The sequence below is a fragment of the Homo sapiens genome, chromosome 12 (assembly GCF_000001405.40).
Source record: "Homo sapiens chromosome 12, GRCh38.p14 Primary Assembly".
In the NCBI taxonomy this organism is placed as follows: domain Eukaryota; kingdom Metazoa; phylum Chordata; class Mammalia; order Primates; family Hominidae; genus Homo; species Homo sapiens.
The window spans coordinates 100476102-100494475 of NC_000012.12; the positions used below are offsets into that span (position 1 = coordinate 100476102).

Here is an 18374-nt window from a genome sequence, read left to right on the forward strand (position 1 = left end):
ACAGGCAGATAGTTAGGAAGTAGCGGGACCTGAACTTGAGGGCGGGTCTTTCTGACTCCAAAGCCTCTTCCTGGCTACTCTGATATTGGCTATTGGCGGAGGCTGGGAAAACTTGAAATGGGGAATGATCGGGGAGCGGCGAGGGGGGACCAGCCGTTAAGCATTCCAGCCTGACAGGGGTGATTTGTTAAACCCAGGAACTAGTTAGACGTTTCCTGAAACCTCCTGCATAGGGCATTTTCGAGAGATTGCACCATCAGTAGGGAAACTGGAAAGTTTGGAGCACTATTTGTTTTAACCCAGAGACCAGTCTAAGATAGCTGGGTGAATATTTCCGTTATCAGCGTTTTAATTAAAGACCACAATGAACTCTCCATGCTGCTGTGATTAGGGACATCTTAGAGAGGAGCTCAGAACTGCTGTGGCTCACAGTCTCTGGATTATGAATGCCATGAGAATGCATATCATGATGTGATAGATTTTCAAAGGCTCACATTGTCATTAGGTGGGTGCATAAAGGACAGAAAAGGTTCTTTACTTCATAGAAAGAGATTTCCCTTCCCTTTGCTCTCAGTCTCATTTTTATCTTAGTCTCTAGCAACACAGATTATAAAGGGGAATAAAAGAAAATAGGAACAAGCTAGATACAGTGATGAGTGCCTGTGATCCCAGCAGCTCGGGCGGCTGAGGTGGAAGGATTGCTTGAGCTCAGGAGTTCAAGGCTGCAGTGAGCTATGATAATGCCACTATACTCTAGCCTGGGTAACATAGAGAGACACCACCTCAAAATTTTTTTTAAAAAATAAGAAATAGGAACAATTTTCCTCCCAGGTATTTTTTTATTGTCACAGTAGTTTCTACCAGTGAAGATGTAGCTAAAAGGCATCACCATACGAGTGTCCTTAGTCACCAAGCTGTATGAGGAGGCAAAAATCATTATTACATACAAATATTCATCCTTCTGTCTTTTCTCTCCCTTCTCTCACCCTGCTCTGGAATCCCCTAACCCCTTTGCTCTTCACAGTGAATTATTTTCTCCCTCAGTTTGCCCATTTCCAATTTTGGCCATAAAAGAACATCTACTATTCCTACTCTCTCTGCTTTGTAAATTGGTGATAAGATGACACTAATATAATGCAACTTGATTGCAAAGTAAAATTGCAAATATTGCACAGGAAAAAAAATAAGATTTATTCTTTGTTAGGATTAAGAAATATAACAGGGTTCTGGTGATTAAAATAAATAAGTATAAATATAAAATAAATTTTTATTAATTTTCATTTTTTAATATAAAATCCTAACAAAACTTTGAGATTTTGCTTCCCATTTTAAAGAGATTTAGATGACCTTTCCCAGGTCTCAATGAACCTGAGACAACCTGGGTCTATTACACTTTAATTAATGTTATTAATGTAAAGAAAAGGAGAAATGGTATGGCTTTGCATTTTCAAGTCCTGTAGATATATTTAACACAGTTATCTGGAAAACATGGTAAATAATGTAGTTGTGCATGGAGAAGATAGTCCTGCTGTGGGATGTTGCTGATTAGAGAAAACAAAAACACTGCTCTGGGCTGTGACTGTTCCTAAGCAGAGAGCTATTTGCTGCCATGTCCTAGAGAGTTATGGAAGCTGCCAGTGTAGACGACAAGTTGATACCAGCCTGGGGCTTAAGGAGCAAAAGCTGGTTGCCATCCAGAATTTGCAGGGCAGAGACAGGACAAAGAAATGTCATTCCAAAGTGGTCATGTAAAAGATTCTTGCTCTCCTGGAGTCCCGACTCTGAATCTGAGGCTATAGCTGGGCTTCAGGGGGCCAGGGTCACTTAAGACTACATTTAAAAATCTATGCATTTTACAGAGAATTTTTAGGGCAGTGAATTCATTCTATATGATATTACCAATGGTGGGTACATGTTATTATACACTTGTCAAGACCCATAGAATACACAACACCAAGATTGAGCCCTAATGTAAACTATAGTCCTTCGCTGATAAAGATGTGTCAGCATAGGTTCATCGATTGTAAAAAAATGTGCCACTCTGGTGCTGGTTGTTGAAAGTAAAGGAGGCTGTGCATGTGTGTGGGGGGTGGGGGAGAAGACGTATATGGAGGCTCTCCATACATTTTGTTCAATTTTATAGTGAACATAAAATTTCTCCTAAACATTTATTAATTTAGAAAAATATCTGTATTTTGTGTATGTCTTTCCTAGAGAGAGGTTTATAATTTTTGTTGAAGCTCAAAAATGCTGCACAATCCTAAAATTGTTTTAAGAAAATGAAGCAAACCCTTCTTTTCTGGAGAATCTAAATATACCTGCTTATAGCATCTGATTATATAATTGGCAAAGTTGAGGACAGGAAATGATACCCTAGGAGACTGACATATCTTAATGTAGTCATTGTGTTAAAAGTTTCAACATTATGAATAAGTCTAAAATATTTTTTGACCTTCCCCTAGCCCTATTCTCCTCTACTTCACTGTTTCAATGTTAATACATATCAAAACACTTTAATCTTGTTTAACCACTTCCTAATAGTTGATACTATAGAGCACAGTTCATTTAGCCATTCCACTGTTGATGGTTTTTTAGGTGGTTTGCCCTCTTTCTGCATTAGAGGCAATGCTACAATGAACATCCTGGTGCATACCAGCAAAGATTTCTCCAGGAAAGATACCTAGGAATTAAAATTGCACTTTATTTTAAGATACACTGCTAAAGAGCCCTCCAAAAAGACTAAAACCTATGCCCCCACTAGCAATATGTGAGAATGCATATTTTCATACACTTTGAATATTATCAAAGTTAAAATTTTTTGATAATCTCATAGGTGAAAATGGTATTTAGTTATAGTAATATCCATTTTCCTAATTATTATTAGTTTCAGATATTTTCTGTGTTTACTGGCCACTTGTGTTTCCACTTTGGTGAATTTCCTTTTTGTATCCTTTGCCAATTTCTCTCTTGGGTTGTTTATCCTTTCTGTTTTTATTTATAGGAATCGTTTATATATTGTTTGTACTAATATTTTTGGTGTTATTTATGTTGTAAATATTTTTATCCATTTTTATATATTTAGCTTTGTTTGTGATGCCTTAACCTCTGTCTTACATTTCAACGTTCTCAAATGTATTCTTTTCCTATTTACTTCTTATTTAATAAAGTCCTTCTCAATCCCCAAATCCATAAAGATCATAAATATATTTTCTCCCAATAATTTTATAATTTTCAGTCTTTAATCCATCTGAGATGTATTTTCCAAGAATGATTCATAAAGATGTCTTTATTTTTACCCTCAAAGCATAGGCAATTTTCTTGCCACAATTTCTTGAATAGGTCATCCTTCTTCCACTGATTTGAGCTGAGTCCACTAGCTACAGCATAGACAACTATTTAGGGTTGCTCAGAACACAGCATGCTATTTTCCCTTCCTATAGCCATCCCTGTTGCGTGTCATTTTCCTAGCCTAATGCCTATTCCTTCAAGACTAAGTTCAAGAATCAACCCTCCACGCTCAGAAAGATTTCCCTCATTCTCCTCACTATACCCTTGTTTAAAACTCATCAATTACTTCCATTTAGAAGAAAATCCAAACTCCTTACCATGGCCAACAGGCCATACAAGAGCTGCCTACTCTCAGACCTCATTTCCTATAGCCCCTCCTTGGCTCACTCATTTCCAGCCTCACTGGGCTTGTGTTGTTCTTCCAACACTCCAAGCCCAGGCCCTTTGCTTTTGCTGATCACTCTGCCTGAACTTATTTTCCCTTTGTATGACTTACTCATTCTTGTCCTTCACATCTCAGTTCGAATGTCCACTTTTCAGAGAGCTCTTCTCTGATTGCCCTCTCCAAAACTGTGTTCAACTACAACACTCTATACTTCTCTTTTACTTTCTTATTATCCTCATCAGAAATCCTATTATTTGTTGACTTGTGTATTATTCACTTATCCCTCTAGAATGTAAGCTCTTTGTCTTACCACTGTATTTCTAAAACCTAGACCGAAACTTGGTATGTAGTAGAGAATTAATGAATATTGGATGAATGAATGTCCCTGCTTGTGCTCCTGATGGCACCTGTGCTTAGCTCTGTTGTAGCAATCCTCACACTACTACCATTGGGTTTTTCTTGCCTGACTTTTCCACTAAGCTTTCTGAAAAATCATTATTTTTTACTATGTCTAGTGTCTGTCAATAAATGTGCACTGACAAAATAAATGAGTGAATGAATGGGAAATTGATGTTGAGATGCCGTTTTTAAAGAGTAAGTACCTTATCACACATAGCTAAAGAGACCAACTGACACATCCACCGTACTAGTGGGAAATCTTAGATCTATAAGTTTAGAAACATTTCTATCTTCCAAGTTACCACAGGAGACAGTGTTACTGATTGTTTCATGATTATAAACAGGACCCCCATCTTCCCACCTCCTATGGGAATTTTCTTATTGTTCTTCCAGTTTCCACTAACCAGTCTCCTCACTGCCCTTCTAGCCTCAGATCATCCCCCAATCCCAAAGCCCAGGCCATATATGTTAGCGGTTTTTTTAGACAGCATCTCACTTCCAGGTACTGATTTCTATACCAGTCATTTATGTCTTTGTAACAACCATCCCAAAGCTTAGTGGCATAAAACAGGAATGATCCATTAATTCTCATAGTTCTGTGGGGCGGCTGAGCAGCTTCTCTGCTGGTTATGCCTGGGTTCACTCATGTTGCTCATTCAGATGTGAGTTCAACTGGAATGAAAGGACTGAGATGGCCTCACTCATGTCTGGGGTCTTGATGTGGCCGTCAGCTGGGATAGTTGGAAGAGCTGGACTTCTTTCTCCATGAGATTTTTAAATCTGAGATATCTGCAAACAGTATGGCAATCTCAGGGCAGCATTCTTTCTTAGATATGGAAAACAGAAGCTACAAGGTCTCTTAAAGCCTGGCTTAGAAGTCCCCAACCTCACTTCCACCACATTCTGTTGGTCAACGAATTTATTAGACCAGCTCAGGTCCAAGGGCTAGCGAAACAGACTTTGTGCATTGATGAGAGGTGTGGCAAACTCACATTGTAAGAGCGTGTGGAAAGGAAGCAATTGTGGTGGCCATCTTTGCAAACAATTTCCATGAGTAAGAGGCATAATATTTCAAAGATCCAATTAAGTATTTGAAAAAAAAAATGACAAGTTAGTCACGGAGAAAGCATTCAACAAATAGCTTCTTGACCATTTTGACTAATGTACATAATGCGAAAAAAGAAAAAACAAACTTTCCTGATTATGAAGAGTGAACATTAAGAAGACCAAACAACCACAACAACAAAACTATTCCTGGTAGTTCTGATGGAAGAGAATTAACAACGGGAAATTCGCGAGATTAATTAAAACTATTTCCGGCCCAGCATGGTGGCTCACTCCTGTAATCCCAGCACTTTGGGAGGCTGAGGTGGGCAGATTGCTTGAGCTCAGGAGTTCTAGACCAGCCTGGGCAACATGGTGAAATCCTGTCTCTACAAAAAATTAAAAAAATTAGCTGGGGCTGGGCACGGTGGCTCATGCCTGAATCCCAGCACTTTGGGAGGCCGAAGCTGGCAGATCATGAGGTCAGGAGATCGAGACCATCCTGGCTAACACGGTGAAACCCCATCTCTACTAAAAATACAAAAAATTAGCTGGGCATGGTGGCGGGTGCCTGTAGTCCCAGCTACTCGGGAGGCTGAGGCAGGAGAATGGTGTGAACCCAGGAGGCGGAGCTTGCAGTGAGCCGAGATGGCACCACTGCACTCCAGCCTGGGTGACAGAGCGAGACTCCATCTCAAAAAAATAAAAATAAAAATAAATAAATAAATAAATAAAATTAGCTGGGCAAGTGGTGCATGCCTGTAGTCCCAGCTACTTGGGAGGCTGAGGTGTGAGGATTGCTTGAGCCTGGGAGGTCAAGACTGCAGCGAGCTAAGATCGCACCACTGCATTCCAGCCCAGGTGAAAGAGAGAGACCCTGTCTCAAAACAAACAAACAAACAACAAAAACCCTGAAACAAAACAAAACAATTTCCTGGGGTGGTCAACTCATGTATAAAATGGTTCCCATGGGGAGACTGGAAAGCCTATGCTTAAGAGATTTCCAATAAAAATGGTTACCATTCACTAATTAGTCTACATTGTGGGGAAGCAGACTTAGTTGTTAGATTTCTTTATGTGACAAAAAAAAAATCCTTCTTCGGCTCTTGTGTGTATTGTGTTGTATGCCTCTATTCACTAATTTCTGTCCTATGGCCTAAGCAAGACTGATTCTAAAGGTGGTTATCTAGTAAGGTATATTATTCATTCACTCATTTATGTATTAGTTACTTTATTTATTCATGCAACCATTTGTTCATTTACTCAATTAACAAGAATTTATTGTGCATCTAAGATGTACCTGGCTGGCATTGTGCAAGGCATTGGAGATCCAATGTAATCTCTCCTAGAGCTGCTGGTTTAATGGGAGACACAGAAAACCAAATCCACAAAAACAAAGGTTGAATTACAATGGTAACACCACTGCAAAGAAGAAGTACCCAGGGCTATGAACGTCTCCTGGAGTTTGTGCTAATCAAGGAGTTGAGAAGCAGGGCTAGGCCTAGAGCTAGGCAAGTGAGGCACTGAGGGTGCAAAATTTAAGAAGACATTCACTTCCAGGTTCCTGGTCCTGGAAGCCTCAACTCCAGGTGCTTCTTCTACATCTAGTTGGAAATAAAGGTCAGCTGTTGTTTAGGCACCATTGTGTAAGCTCCAGAGAGCAGAGACGCTTTGAAAGCTGTGGATATCTAGTTGATGCAGGTATTTTATTATTTATTTATTTATTTGAGACAGAGTGTCACTCTGTCACAAGACTGGAGTGTAGTGGCGCAATCTCGGCTCACTGCAACCTCTGCTTCCTGGGTTCAAGCAATTCTTCTGCCTCAGCCTCCCAAGTAGCTGGGACTACAGGCGTGTGCCACCGTGCCCAGCTAATTTTTGTATTTTTAGTAGAGATGGAGTTTCACCATGTTGGCCAGGCTGGTCTCAAATCCCTGACCTCAGGTGATCCACCCACCTCAGCCTCCCAAAGTGCTGGGATTACAGGCATGAGCCACTGTGCCTGGCCTGTCATAGTTCTTGACAAACAAGTCATATTTCTTGCTGCTAATGGGCACAAACAAAACTGAGGTTGATTAGTTTGAATATCAGTATAAGTTGATCATAGATATGATCCAGAGAATGCTATTATTAAAAATTTAATTAAAATGTTAATTTAAATATTAAATTTTATTTTAATCTATCACTAAAAATCTATGTAGTGGTTACTAAGATAGTAATAAAAATTGTTTGGTTCTTATAGAGCACTGTCTTCAGAATGATGTGGTCCAATGGTCATATTGGCTCGCAGCCATCCTTGTTGGCCATATGTTGTCCTTGACGTGTCTCTGGATTTTCGGAAGTATCTATTTATTCTAAATCTGTATTTCTGTCCTGGAAAGAACTTCAGTTTGAGTGCTGCTTGAAGACCAAATACTTGGAAAAATAAAACGTTTTTTCTTTTCCTAGAGCTCTTTTCTCTTTTTCCTTAAGAATATATTTCCAGGTCAGGCGCGGTGGCTCACGCCTGTAATCCCAGCACTTTGGGAGGCCAAGGCGGGTGGATCACTTGAGGTCAGGAGTTTGAGACCAGTCTGGCCAACATGGTGAAACCCTGTCTCTACTGAAAATACAAAAATTAGCTGGGTGTGGTGGTGCATGCCTGTAATCCCAACTACTCGGGAGGCTGAGGCAGGAGAATCACTTGAACCCGGGAGATGAAGATTGCAGTGAACTGAGGTCGTGCCACTGCACTCCGACCTGGGCAACAGAGCAAGACTCTGTCTCAGAAAAAAAAAAAAAAAAAAAAGAATGTATTTCCAGCCTTTGGGCAGAATCTAAGGCTTCCTCTGAGCATAAAATGATGATGGTTAGAAAACCTTCATGTTTTTTCCTGCCCTTTAAAAATGGATTACATAGATATCCAACAAAGTGTATACTTTCTATCAACAACTGAGTTCATTTGAGACAATGTCACCAAGGATGATGTCTTGATATGTAGAGTTCATAGTGAACTAGTGCATGTAATCGGTTTTTATCTTCATCCTCCAAGCACTAAGATTCCTCTAAATCAGAGTCAAAGTTATTTAATTGCAGCAGTGTCTTTCCAAGGTCTCCGATTGCAAATGGTTTATACTAAGTCAGAGGAGCTCCATACGCCATGAACTTCCCATGACACACGGTATCTAAATAAGTAAATATTGATAACCAGAAAGTGGGAGTCCAAGCTACCAGTAACTATGTGTCTTATCACAATAAAAACAAACAGTGCATACCATTTCTGAAATAATTCCTGGGTCCTTAAATGAAGACTTAGGTTACAGCATTTTAGAAATAAGCAAAAAGTAAAATAAACATTTTGTCCCTCCTTTCACCAATACCCAAGGTTTAAACTTTGTATCATGGGGCTGCTGCTTCTCCTTCCTCCTCCTTTTTGTATGCTGTACACAAGTTCCTTCCTTCCCATCTCTACTGACGCCACGCTGCTATGCACTCTGGTCACCACACAACAACTTCCTGAATGTTTCTCCTTCTTTTACTGCTTCCCCTCCCCAGCCCACCTTCTCACTAGAGTAATCATATCTACTGATTTTATTGTGCCACTCAAAATTTCCAGTAGTTCCCCATTGACCACAGTTAGGTTCCCCAAACATTTTATGGGGAGGAATTACTTTTTCCTCAAAGCTTTAAGAATGGTGTGTAGCAAGGGCAAGGATGTGTGAGAAAGAGAGAAGCCCTGTATGAACTTGTGTATTTTTACATAGGAAGCTTTCCATATATAATTTCATTCAATCTTTTTCATTGTGAAATATTTTCAACATGCAACAAAATAGAGTAATATAATCAACTTCCTTGTATTTATTGCTCAACTTAGAAGGAGAGCATTACAGGTATTATAGAAACTCCCTATGTACCTGCCCAGTCACATTCTGCAGCTCTATTCTGAATATGGGGCTCATTACTTTCATTCATGTCTTTACAGTTAAGGCAAGGATCACAAGCTTTTTCTACAAAGGATAGACTGAATATTTTAGACTTTGCAGACCATATGGACTGTATTGCAACCACAGTACTTAACTCTGTACTGTGGCTCAGAAAGGAGCCATAGAGAGCAAGTAAACAAAAGGGCAAATCTGGTCCTTGGCAGGCTGGGTTGGGTCTGAGAGTCATAGTTTGCTGATCTCTGCAGTAGAGTAACAGTAATAATATGTAGCACTGCTTTGCATATCTTTATATCAAACTGTATGTATTATTCTGCAACCTGATTCTTTTGCTCAATATGATGTTTCCCCATTTATTCATATGAATACATCTAGTTCTAGTTCATTTTATTTTATTTTATTTTTTAATTTTTTTTGAGATGGAGTGCTCTGTTGCACAGGCTGGAGTACAGTGGTGCGATCTCGGCTCACTGCAACCTCCACTTCCTGGGTTCAAGTGATTCTCCTGCCTCAGCCTCCCGAGTAGCTGGGATTACAGGCATGTGTCACCACCCCCGGCTAATTTTTTGTATTTGTAGTAGAGAAGGGATTTCACCATGTTGGCCAGGCTGGTCTCGAACTCCTGACCTCAGCTGATCTGCCCACCTCGGCCTCCCAAAGTGCTGGGATTACAGGTGTGAGCCACTATGCCCAGCCGCTAGTTCATTTTATAGTCATTTATTTTAGTTCAGATTATAATTATTTTAATTGCTGTATAGTATTCACCTGTGAATGTGCAATTTATTTATTGTATCCATTCTCTTTTTGATGGACATTATGCTGTTTCCAATTTCTTACCATTGGAAACAATGTGGTGAACTTTTTTTGTACATGTCACTGTATACATATATTTGAAAACCTATGAAAGATTCACTTTTTAAGCTTTACGGCAACCCTATTATTTCGATTTAAATCCCCAATCAGGGGAGTGTCTGGGTGGTAGTGTCAGGAGGAGGTGCTGAGTGAGTAGTTCCAGGTCATGCGTGAAGCTACGGAATGTCAGAACTGGCACTCCACCCTTAATCTCCTCATGTCTCATCCCCAGTGATATTTATACTAGACCAAAGCTATTATTTCTGCATATGTAAAACATTGCCAGCTATGCAAAGGGAATATGAAATAAATATAAGCAATGATTCCTCTCTTCTAGAAGTTTACGATCTGGTGATATAGTAAAGACAAAACAGATGAAATCAAAGCATTAATTACTATACAAGGAGGAGGGAGAGAAAAATGACAAGGAAGCATCAATCAACAAACTGGAACATATAGGGGAAAAATCTATAAGACTGAGAGGTGCAAGAGCACATTTGAGCAAATGGAGACATGCTGTGCCCTTGAAAGGCAAAATTAAATATCAGAAATGAGCAGATTTTCTCCCTAAATATCTACGTTTGGCACCGTCTCAAACTCCCAAAGAAACTTTTCTTTTTAAGAGTGTGATAAAAGATATGATAATTTTATCACAGAAAACAAGCAAGGGTATCTTAGGAAATGTTGAAAGAGAATGATCGATAATAAGAAAGGATGATATTGATACAAGAAGTAACTGCACGATCAATGGAAAACTAAAGTCTTAAAGAAGCACTATGAACCAATGGGTGAGGGAAAATGTACTCAAGAAGCAATTCTGAAAAAAAAAAATCCACCTTGTACCATAAACTAAAAATAAGAAGCAATAAAAGTAACCTTTAAAAAATCAGATATATTTAACTACATGCAATGCAAAACTTTTTAGGTAAAGGTAATTTAAAGGCATGTAGTAAATATAATAGAATGCTAATACATTCAACGTATGAAGAACTCTGCCAAGTCAATAAAAAAAGGAACACTTCAGTAGAAAAATGGCAAAGGAAGTAAACCCAAAATGGAAACTGTCACACATAGCCAATATAGATGTAAAGAAATGTTTTTTAAATTACTGCTAATCAGAGTAATTTAATACAACAAGATAGGATTTGTCACCTAGTAAATTAGAAAAAATTGTTCAAAGTGAGAGTGGGTGATGCTAATAAAGGTATGATGAGAAAAGCAGTCTTACTGCTGGTGGGAGTATAAATGGAAAAAAATGATAGAACACAATTTGACATTTTTTATGCTTTGCTGTATTGCCTCAATTTTCTGCAATGACCCTTTTATTTTAAAAATACTTTAGCTTAAAAATAAATTTTAATAACTTTTCAGAAAAACAGTGGATGAAGGAATGCTTAAAGTTGGGGTTTTATTAAGTTAACAAACTATTAATTGAGACTGATTAGGCTAACAGAGGGGGCAGCTGGCTAATCTATCCTGCATCCACCCTATCCCTCTTCCAGGACAGGGGTGGGGAATGGGGGAGTCAGGGGGAAGGTAGGGAAGTGATCATGTTCAAATCAGATCTTTTTCTTTTCTTTACCTGCTCTGATTCTTCTTCTTCTTCTTTTTTTTTTTTTTTTTTTGAGACGAGTCTCACTCTGTTGCCCAGGCTGGAGTGCTGGAGTGCTGGAGTGCAGTGGCGTGATCTCGAGTTACTGCAACCTCTGCCTCCCAGGTTCAAATGATTCTCCTGCCTCAGCCTCCTGAGTAGCTTGGATTACAGGCACCTGCCACCACGCCTGGCTAATTTTTATATTTTTAGTAAAGACGGGGTTTCACCATGTTGACCAGGCTGGTCTCAAACTCCTGACCTCAAGTGATCCGCCTGTCTCAGCCTCCCAAAGTGTTGGGATTACAGGTGTGAACCACTATGTCTGGCCTTTAGCTGCATTTCTAAGGAGATTTGCTTCCTCTACTTCATGTGTTCTGCCAGCTGTTGACCATGGCTATCACCTGACAATGTTGTTTTCCTTTCTTTCTTTTCTTTTTGAGATGGAATCTCACTCTGTTTCCCAGGTTAGTGCAGTGGTGCAATTTTGGGTCACTGCAACTTCTGCCTCCCGAGTTCAAGTGATTCTCCTGCCTCAGCCTCTCGAGTAGCTGGGATTACAAGCCTGTGCCACCATGCCTGGTTAATTTTTGTATTTTTATTAGAGATGAGATTCCTCATGTTGGCCAGGCTGGTCTTGAACTCCCGACCTCAAGTAATCCGCCCACCTCAGCCTCCCAAAGTGCTGGGATTACAGGCGTGAGCCACTGCATCCGGCCATAATGTTGTTTTTCTTTCTGATCTGGTGTTCTCTCTTCCACAATAGACTGCTTTCTCTACTTGTGCCTTTTGGCATGGAAAATGAGCTGCCCCATTTGTAGAGACAGTCTCATGGACAAGGCATAGTTTTGAGTAAATGGGTACTCATAATAGCTAGTCATAAAGTAAATCCTGAAATTTTAAAAAAATGTTTAAAATCTTAAAGTCATTAGAAATTAAAAAAATTCAAATTTATATACATATTTTAGTGGCAGAAAATATGATAAAATGACCAATAACAGACTCTCACGTGTAGACATATGCTACCTTAGGATAAAATTCTGCCATGAAGTGGAATGGAATGAAATGTAAACTTGAGGAAGAACAGGAATGATTAAAAAGTTTCCAGCTGTTAAAGAATAACTTCATCTATTTCTTAAAAGGATAAGGGAGGGTAAAAAGTTGCTGTGATATTTAGATTTAATCGAATTATTTAAAAGTAATGCAACAACATGTAAAAATGTCAATTTTTATAATACATCAGAAATTATATTACTTGCAACTATTTTATTTTTTAGTGAAAGACATTAGATGTCAACCCAAAAAGTGTGTTGAAGGAGCATATTGTTTTTCAAGGGTCTTTCAAAGGTTAAAATTCTCAACCTATAACATGACTCCTTTTATGGAAGGGAGGATTTGAAGGAAAAAAGACTATAGAGCTAAAGTCAAGGGTCTCCTGGGAGTTCTTCTTTTGCAGTTCCTTCCCCAAAATGAAAGTGAAGAGTATTAGAGAAAGAAGAGCACCAAAGTAACCGTAATTAGACAAATAATGTATATGGAAACTCTTGGCAAATAGGCTAAAGTTGCTAATCCCAGTAAGAAGCTGTTAAGAGGTAAAGAAAATCTGACTATTATGAGATGTATTTAATTAAGTGGGTTTATATCCCCAAGGTAATCTTTACATTTATTCATAGTTTACCTCTAACACTACTTTGATTGTTTGAATCCCTTCTGTTCTTTGTTTCAGGCAGGGATTAACATACTTTTTGTGTAAAAGGCTAGATAGTAAATATTTTTGGGTTTCTGAACCGTGCAGTCTTGTGTTGCAACTACTGTACTCAACTCTGCTACTGCAGGGAGAAAAGAGCCATAGATATTCCATAAACAAGTGGCTGTGGCTGAGTACCATTAAACTATTTATAGGCACTGAATATGAATTTCATATAATTTCCATGTGTCATAAAATATTCTTCTTTTGTTTTTTTTAACCATCTGAAAATGTAAAACCATTCTAAGCTCACAGGCTACACAAAAACAGGCAGCCGACCGGATTTGGCCTGCAGGCAATAGTTTACCAACTCTGTTTTTAGATACAGTATTTGAAGGCCCTTTTATACTGAAGAGTGAGAACAATATTCTGGAAGGATACACAAAGAATTAGCAATTGTAATTGTATTTAGGTAAGGAAAATGGGTGTCTAAGCTGGGAAGACTTTTTTTCAGTATACTGTTTGAATTGTTTACCATGTGCTTGTGTTACTATTTCAAAAATTTAGTTTCTTTTTTTTTAAAGCCCATTCGGGAATTGTAAACCCAATGAATCTGACTTGAGTGGACCCTGCTAACTATCTGGATTCTAGAGAGTTCTGCTGTTAGCTAATCAGGGGCATTCACATGGTAGGTCTCCAATCAGGGATAATAACTTAAATGATGCAGAATTAGGGGAACTGGACTTTTCATTTGGGAGAGCAAGTGATAAATTATGTCCTAAGCTTTTGTGCCAATAGGGCTTATAACATTTCTCCAGGAAGAGCAAGTCAAATGTCATAGAATTTGGCAGAACTAAGCAAGAAAAACAATAAATGCAGATAATTTAATAGAGCCAACATTTCTTGAGGGCTGACTGTATGCCAGGCCCTTAATTTGAAGGTGCCAAGTTTATATGAATGTATTGAAGAAAATATATCACAGGAATCCAAAATGAAGATGAGTGTGCCTGGAAAATATTAAAAAACTGTAATGTGCAGTGGAAGTACGGGGGAGCTTGCTGAACATGGCTCAAGGTTAAAAAAGACAGATGTGAGACAAGGAGAGCACAGAGGGAAACCTGAAGTCAGAGTCACAGAGCTGTAATATCCTATTTTTAAAGACCAGAGGAAATGGGCCTTAAGTTACAGAGTATAAGCTTGGGTTGAATATTAGGAAAACTTTCTGACCGTTCACATTGTGGGTTCCTGGAAAATATTATTATGGGAAATTGTGGAATTTCCTATTCCCAAGATAGGAGAAACTCTAGAACAATAATTGCCTAAATTTTGATGGGGAGTGGGGTATTTAAGCCCATTTATTATACAATATACAGACACATATACATATTTAGTATCATGATTCATATATGTATTCATATATACACATTATATATATCCTTATACAATTGATATGTACATGCTGAAATTTGAATTTCCCTAGTCCTCAACTAGCTTATGAGTATGAATGAGGTCCTGTTAATAACAACAACTCAACATTTTTCTTTTGAGACTTTAGCTCTGTCGTCCAGGCTGGAATGCAGTGGCATGATCAGAGTTCACTGCAGCCTCGACCTCCCAGGCTCAAGTGATCCTCCTGCTTCAACTTCCCAAGTAGCTTGGCTGGGACTACAGGTGTGCATCACCATGCCCAGCTAATTTTTAAATTTTTATTAGAGGTGAGTTTTGTCATGTTGCCCAGGCTGGTCTCGAACTCTTGGGCTTGAGTGATTCTCCTGCCTTGGCCTTCCAAAGTGATGGGATTACAGGCAGTAGCCACTGTGCCTAGCCAGAAACTCAACTTTTACTGGCTTACTCTTCAGGACCTCCCGCTCCTATCAGAGCCTCCCTCCCCGACAACACCCCAGTTATTTCAGGAGTGCCTTGGGGTCTCTTCATGTTTATAACTAAGTCTGCTCTGGCTGTTCCTTCCACTCCATTTTGTGTCCATGGGGCAGAGCAGTGCCCAACCAGTAGTCATGATTCCTCTGCTGGGCACCTCTGCTGCCCAGCCCTCTTGGGTTCGGAGTTCCACTGTGATATATGGCATAGTTGTTTGAGGATGAGGGTGAGGTTGAAGTGAGTTCTCTCTCTCTTCTGCTTGTTGCATTGGACGGATCTGCCTTATACCTCAATGTTTCCAGACTTCATTTTTATTTACAACCCTTTTCTTCTCACCTCTGGGTGGTAGGAAGGTCTCCTGAATCTAGTATGGGTTGGTCAAACACAGCTACACTGAAAATTACATATGTCTCTAATGGCTAAGGCTTTCCTTTGGGGTGAAGTTCATGGTCCCTAGCTCTCTATGAGTTTAGAATGGATTTTCTCCCACCAAGCCGCTTATATTAATGGATAGTAGAGTTTGGCAGTAGGGCTTGGTGGAATTTGATGGGCTATGCCGTGGGTTTACCAGATGGACCCAGATATGCCTGGAACCCACAGTGGACACAGTTTGTGTCTCTTCTCAGAAGACTCTCCCTCATTCTTGCTTCTTCATGTGGTTCTTCTCTGTTGTCTTCCCATCAATGCAGATTGCTCTAGTATCGCCCATCTTTAAAAATTGCCCTTGAAACTACATCCTCCCTCCGCTACTTCTCTATCTCTTGACTCTCTATCTCTTCACATCCAAACCTCTCTATTACAGCATCCTGTTATTTGCCTTCATAAACAGCTTTCATGACAATATATAATTATCTATGTATTTGGGTGATTATTTAATATTTATTCCTAATTAAGCTTGATATCATGGATCATGAATGTTTATTTTCCTTTTGCCATTTTATCTTCAAATATCTAGCACAGAGTTTAGTGCAGAATATGTGCTCACTGAATATTTGTTGCAAGCATTGAATAAATGAATAAATGAAGGAAACAGGTTTCTGGTGGACGACTTTCCCAGCAGCCAAGTGCACCTGAAACTCACTTCTGTTTGAGCTAGGACATTTGGTGAGTGAGAGAGAAAGAGAGATACGAATAATGGGGAAATCCTAATGAAATACATACTTATCCAAAAAACCCACTATATCCTCTTCCTGGGCAGCAAATATAGACAGCTATTTATTTGTAAATAAAGTCATACCTTGGTGGAGACAGAAAAAAAAGGTTTGAAAATCATCCTCAGAAAACAGCTTGGGAAAAGAGATTCTGACAGCACACATTATCACTTTTCATTATTTAACCTTTCAAATTACTTCTTTAGGGAGGTAGAAGACATCGTAGAAGGAGTGAAAGAAGAAAAGAAGACTTAGAAACATAGCTCAAAGTGAACACTGCTTCTCTTAGTTTCCTGGATTTCTTCTGGACATTTCCTCAAGATGAAACTTCAGACACTTTGGTGAGATTTACCATTATTTTTCTTCTTACTATATCTTTTTAAAAAGCCCCGGATCAATACATGACCAAGGTAGATCATGACAGTGAAAATGAAAGCCCCTGAAATTTCCTCTAAAAGGCAGATACAAGGAATATCTCTGATTTTCTGATCTGCTGACATAATGCCTAAATAGTCAAAAAAAATTCCAGTAGGAAGTGGCTTTAAATCACTATTAATGTTTATAAAAACCTATTCAACTTTAGAATAAAGTTTAAGATAATAAATCATGGATTCATCTCATTTTAAATCAAGGCCTTTTATATTTGTTTTTTTTTCTAATAAAGACATAGTCAAAATGTCATCATATCTTGCCCAAATCTCCCAAGGGCTGAAATTTGAATGAAAACATACGGTGTTTTTTTCAGATAAATTAGTATCTTTTATGCAAGCACGTATCTTGGGCATTTTTAGGTCCAAATGAGGTATAAAAATGATAAATATTGAGAAAAGATACATACAGAAAGGCTATAGTAAAATGCATTCAAAGGGAGCCATTTGTACTTTCGTAAACTATCTCGCTGTCTCCTTCCCCAGCTCTCCTAACCAACCCTTCCCGCATTCCCACAGTCACAAACTATTTATTTTCCTTTCAGGAGTTTTTTTTGAAGACCACCATAAAGAAAGTGCATTTCAATTGAAAAATTTGGATGGGATCAAAAATGAATCTCATTGAACATTCCCATTTACCTACCACAGATGAATTTTCTTTTTCTGAAAATTTATTTGGTAAGTTGTCAAGTTCATTTGAATATCAATAAGAACAAACTACGATTTGGAAATACATGAGGAAATGCCTAGATGATGAGTCCAGCCCAGGGTCAAGAACATGTTTTTGTTCCTTCCAAGTACTCAATCAATGTTAGCTACTCTGCAAGGTTAGAGGTAGATCGGACCTTGGATTCATGGGACTTAATGGTCTTCATTTTTATAGATGAGGACTGCAAAAGCTTTGTGAATTGCTCAAGGCCGCGAGGCTAGATAATTAACAGAGCAGGGAGTAGAAAGCGATTCCTCCTCTAAGGCTAATTCCAATATTATTATAGCAGGTACTAAACTATGAAATCATGATTCTTATGGCTTAATATGACACCTATTAAAGGCTGAGTTTACTTAGGTTATAGCTGGGCAGATTTCCTTTTGCAGTTCCTCCGGTGCTGGGGGATCTATGGCACAGTGTCAGGATTAGTCATTTAAGCAGGATTGAGGACAAATTGTACTAAGCAGTTTTCAGTAGATCTGTAACTAGATGATACCATAAAATGATATATTGCTCCACTTTATGCATTTATGAAAAACATCTCATTATAAAGAGTTTCAACTGCAAACATTAACAAAGATTTAACCAAGGCAATATTTTGGGTGGGACAGGGAGCCTTTCTGCCAGTGTTAAAATAATTCCCTTCTGCATAATAGCCCTGCTGGCAGCCTGGGATGCTCCCAGTTTTCACCCTCCGTTAATATATGGGCCATGATATACCATAATAGTGAAAATGCAAACACTAGAAGTTCCTCAAAGTTCAATGTATGAAGGCATGACCGCTTATTTGGTTGCTGATATTCCTAGGACCTGTTAATTAATAATTTGTTCTGTTACCTATTAGTCATTAGCACTTTAGTGTGTAATAGTTGATTAGGCCATTTCCAAAAAGGGGTCATTATTTGTAATAATTATTTACATGTGTACCTGCCTCCATACAGTACAAATGCATTTAAGGGCAGTGACCATATTTCATTAATATTTTATTATCCAGTGCATATTTAGTAGGCACTTGATAAATAAGAGTCCAGTAATAAATAAT

The 18374-nt window shown here is 38.7% G+C and overlaps 1 protein-coding gene across 8 annotated transcripts in view; it reads left to right on the forward strand.

Moving 5' to 3' along the window:
• The window catches only part of NR1H4 (nuclear receptor subfamily 1 group H member 4), a 90549-nt gene that overhangs the window by 2236 nt on the left and 69939 nt on the right, over positions 1-18374 (forward strand). For 5 of the 8 annotated variants that reach the window (NR_135146.2, NM_001206979.2, NM_005123.4 and 2 more), the window contains exons 2-3: positions 16402-16536; positions 17169-17301. Coding sequence is in view for 7 of the 8 variants with exons in the window: in NM_001206979.2 (NP_001193908.1) it covers positions 17223-17301 (79 nt within the window). In the remaining variant the exon portion in view is untranslated. Of the gene's footprint in view, positions 1-14714; positions 14882-14943; positions 16149-16401; positions 16537-17168; positions 17302-18374 lie in introns of those variants that run through there. The other 3 variants (NM_001206977.2, XM_047429943.1, XM_011539040.3) reach the window with 2 other exon arrangements.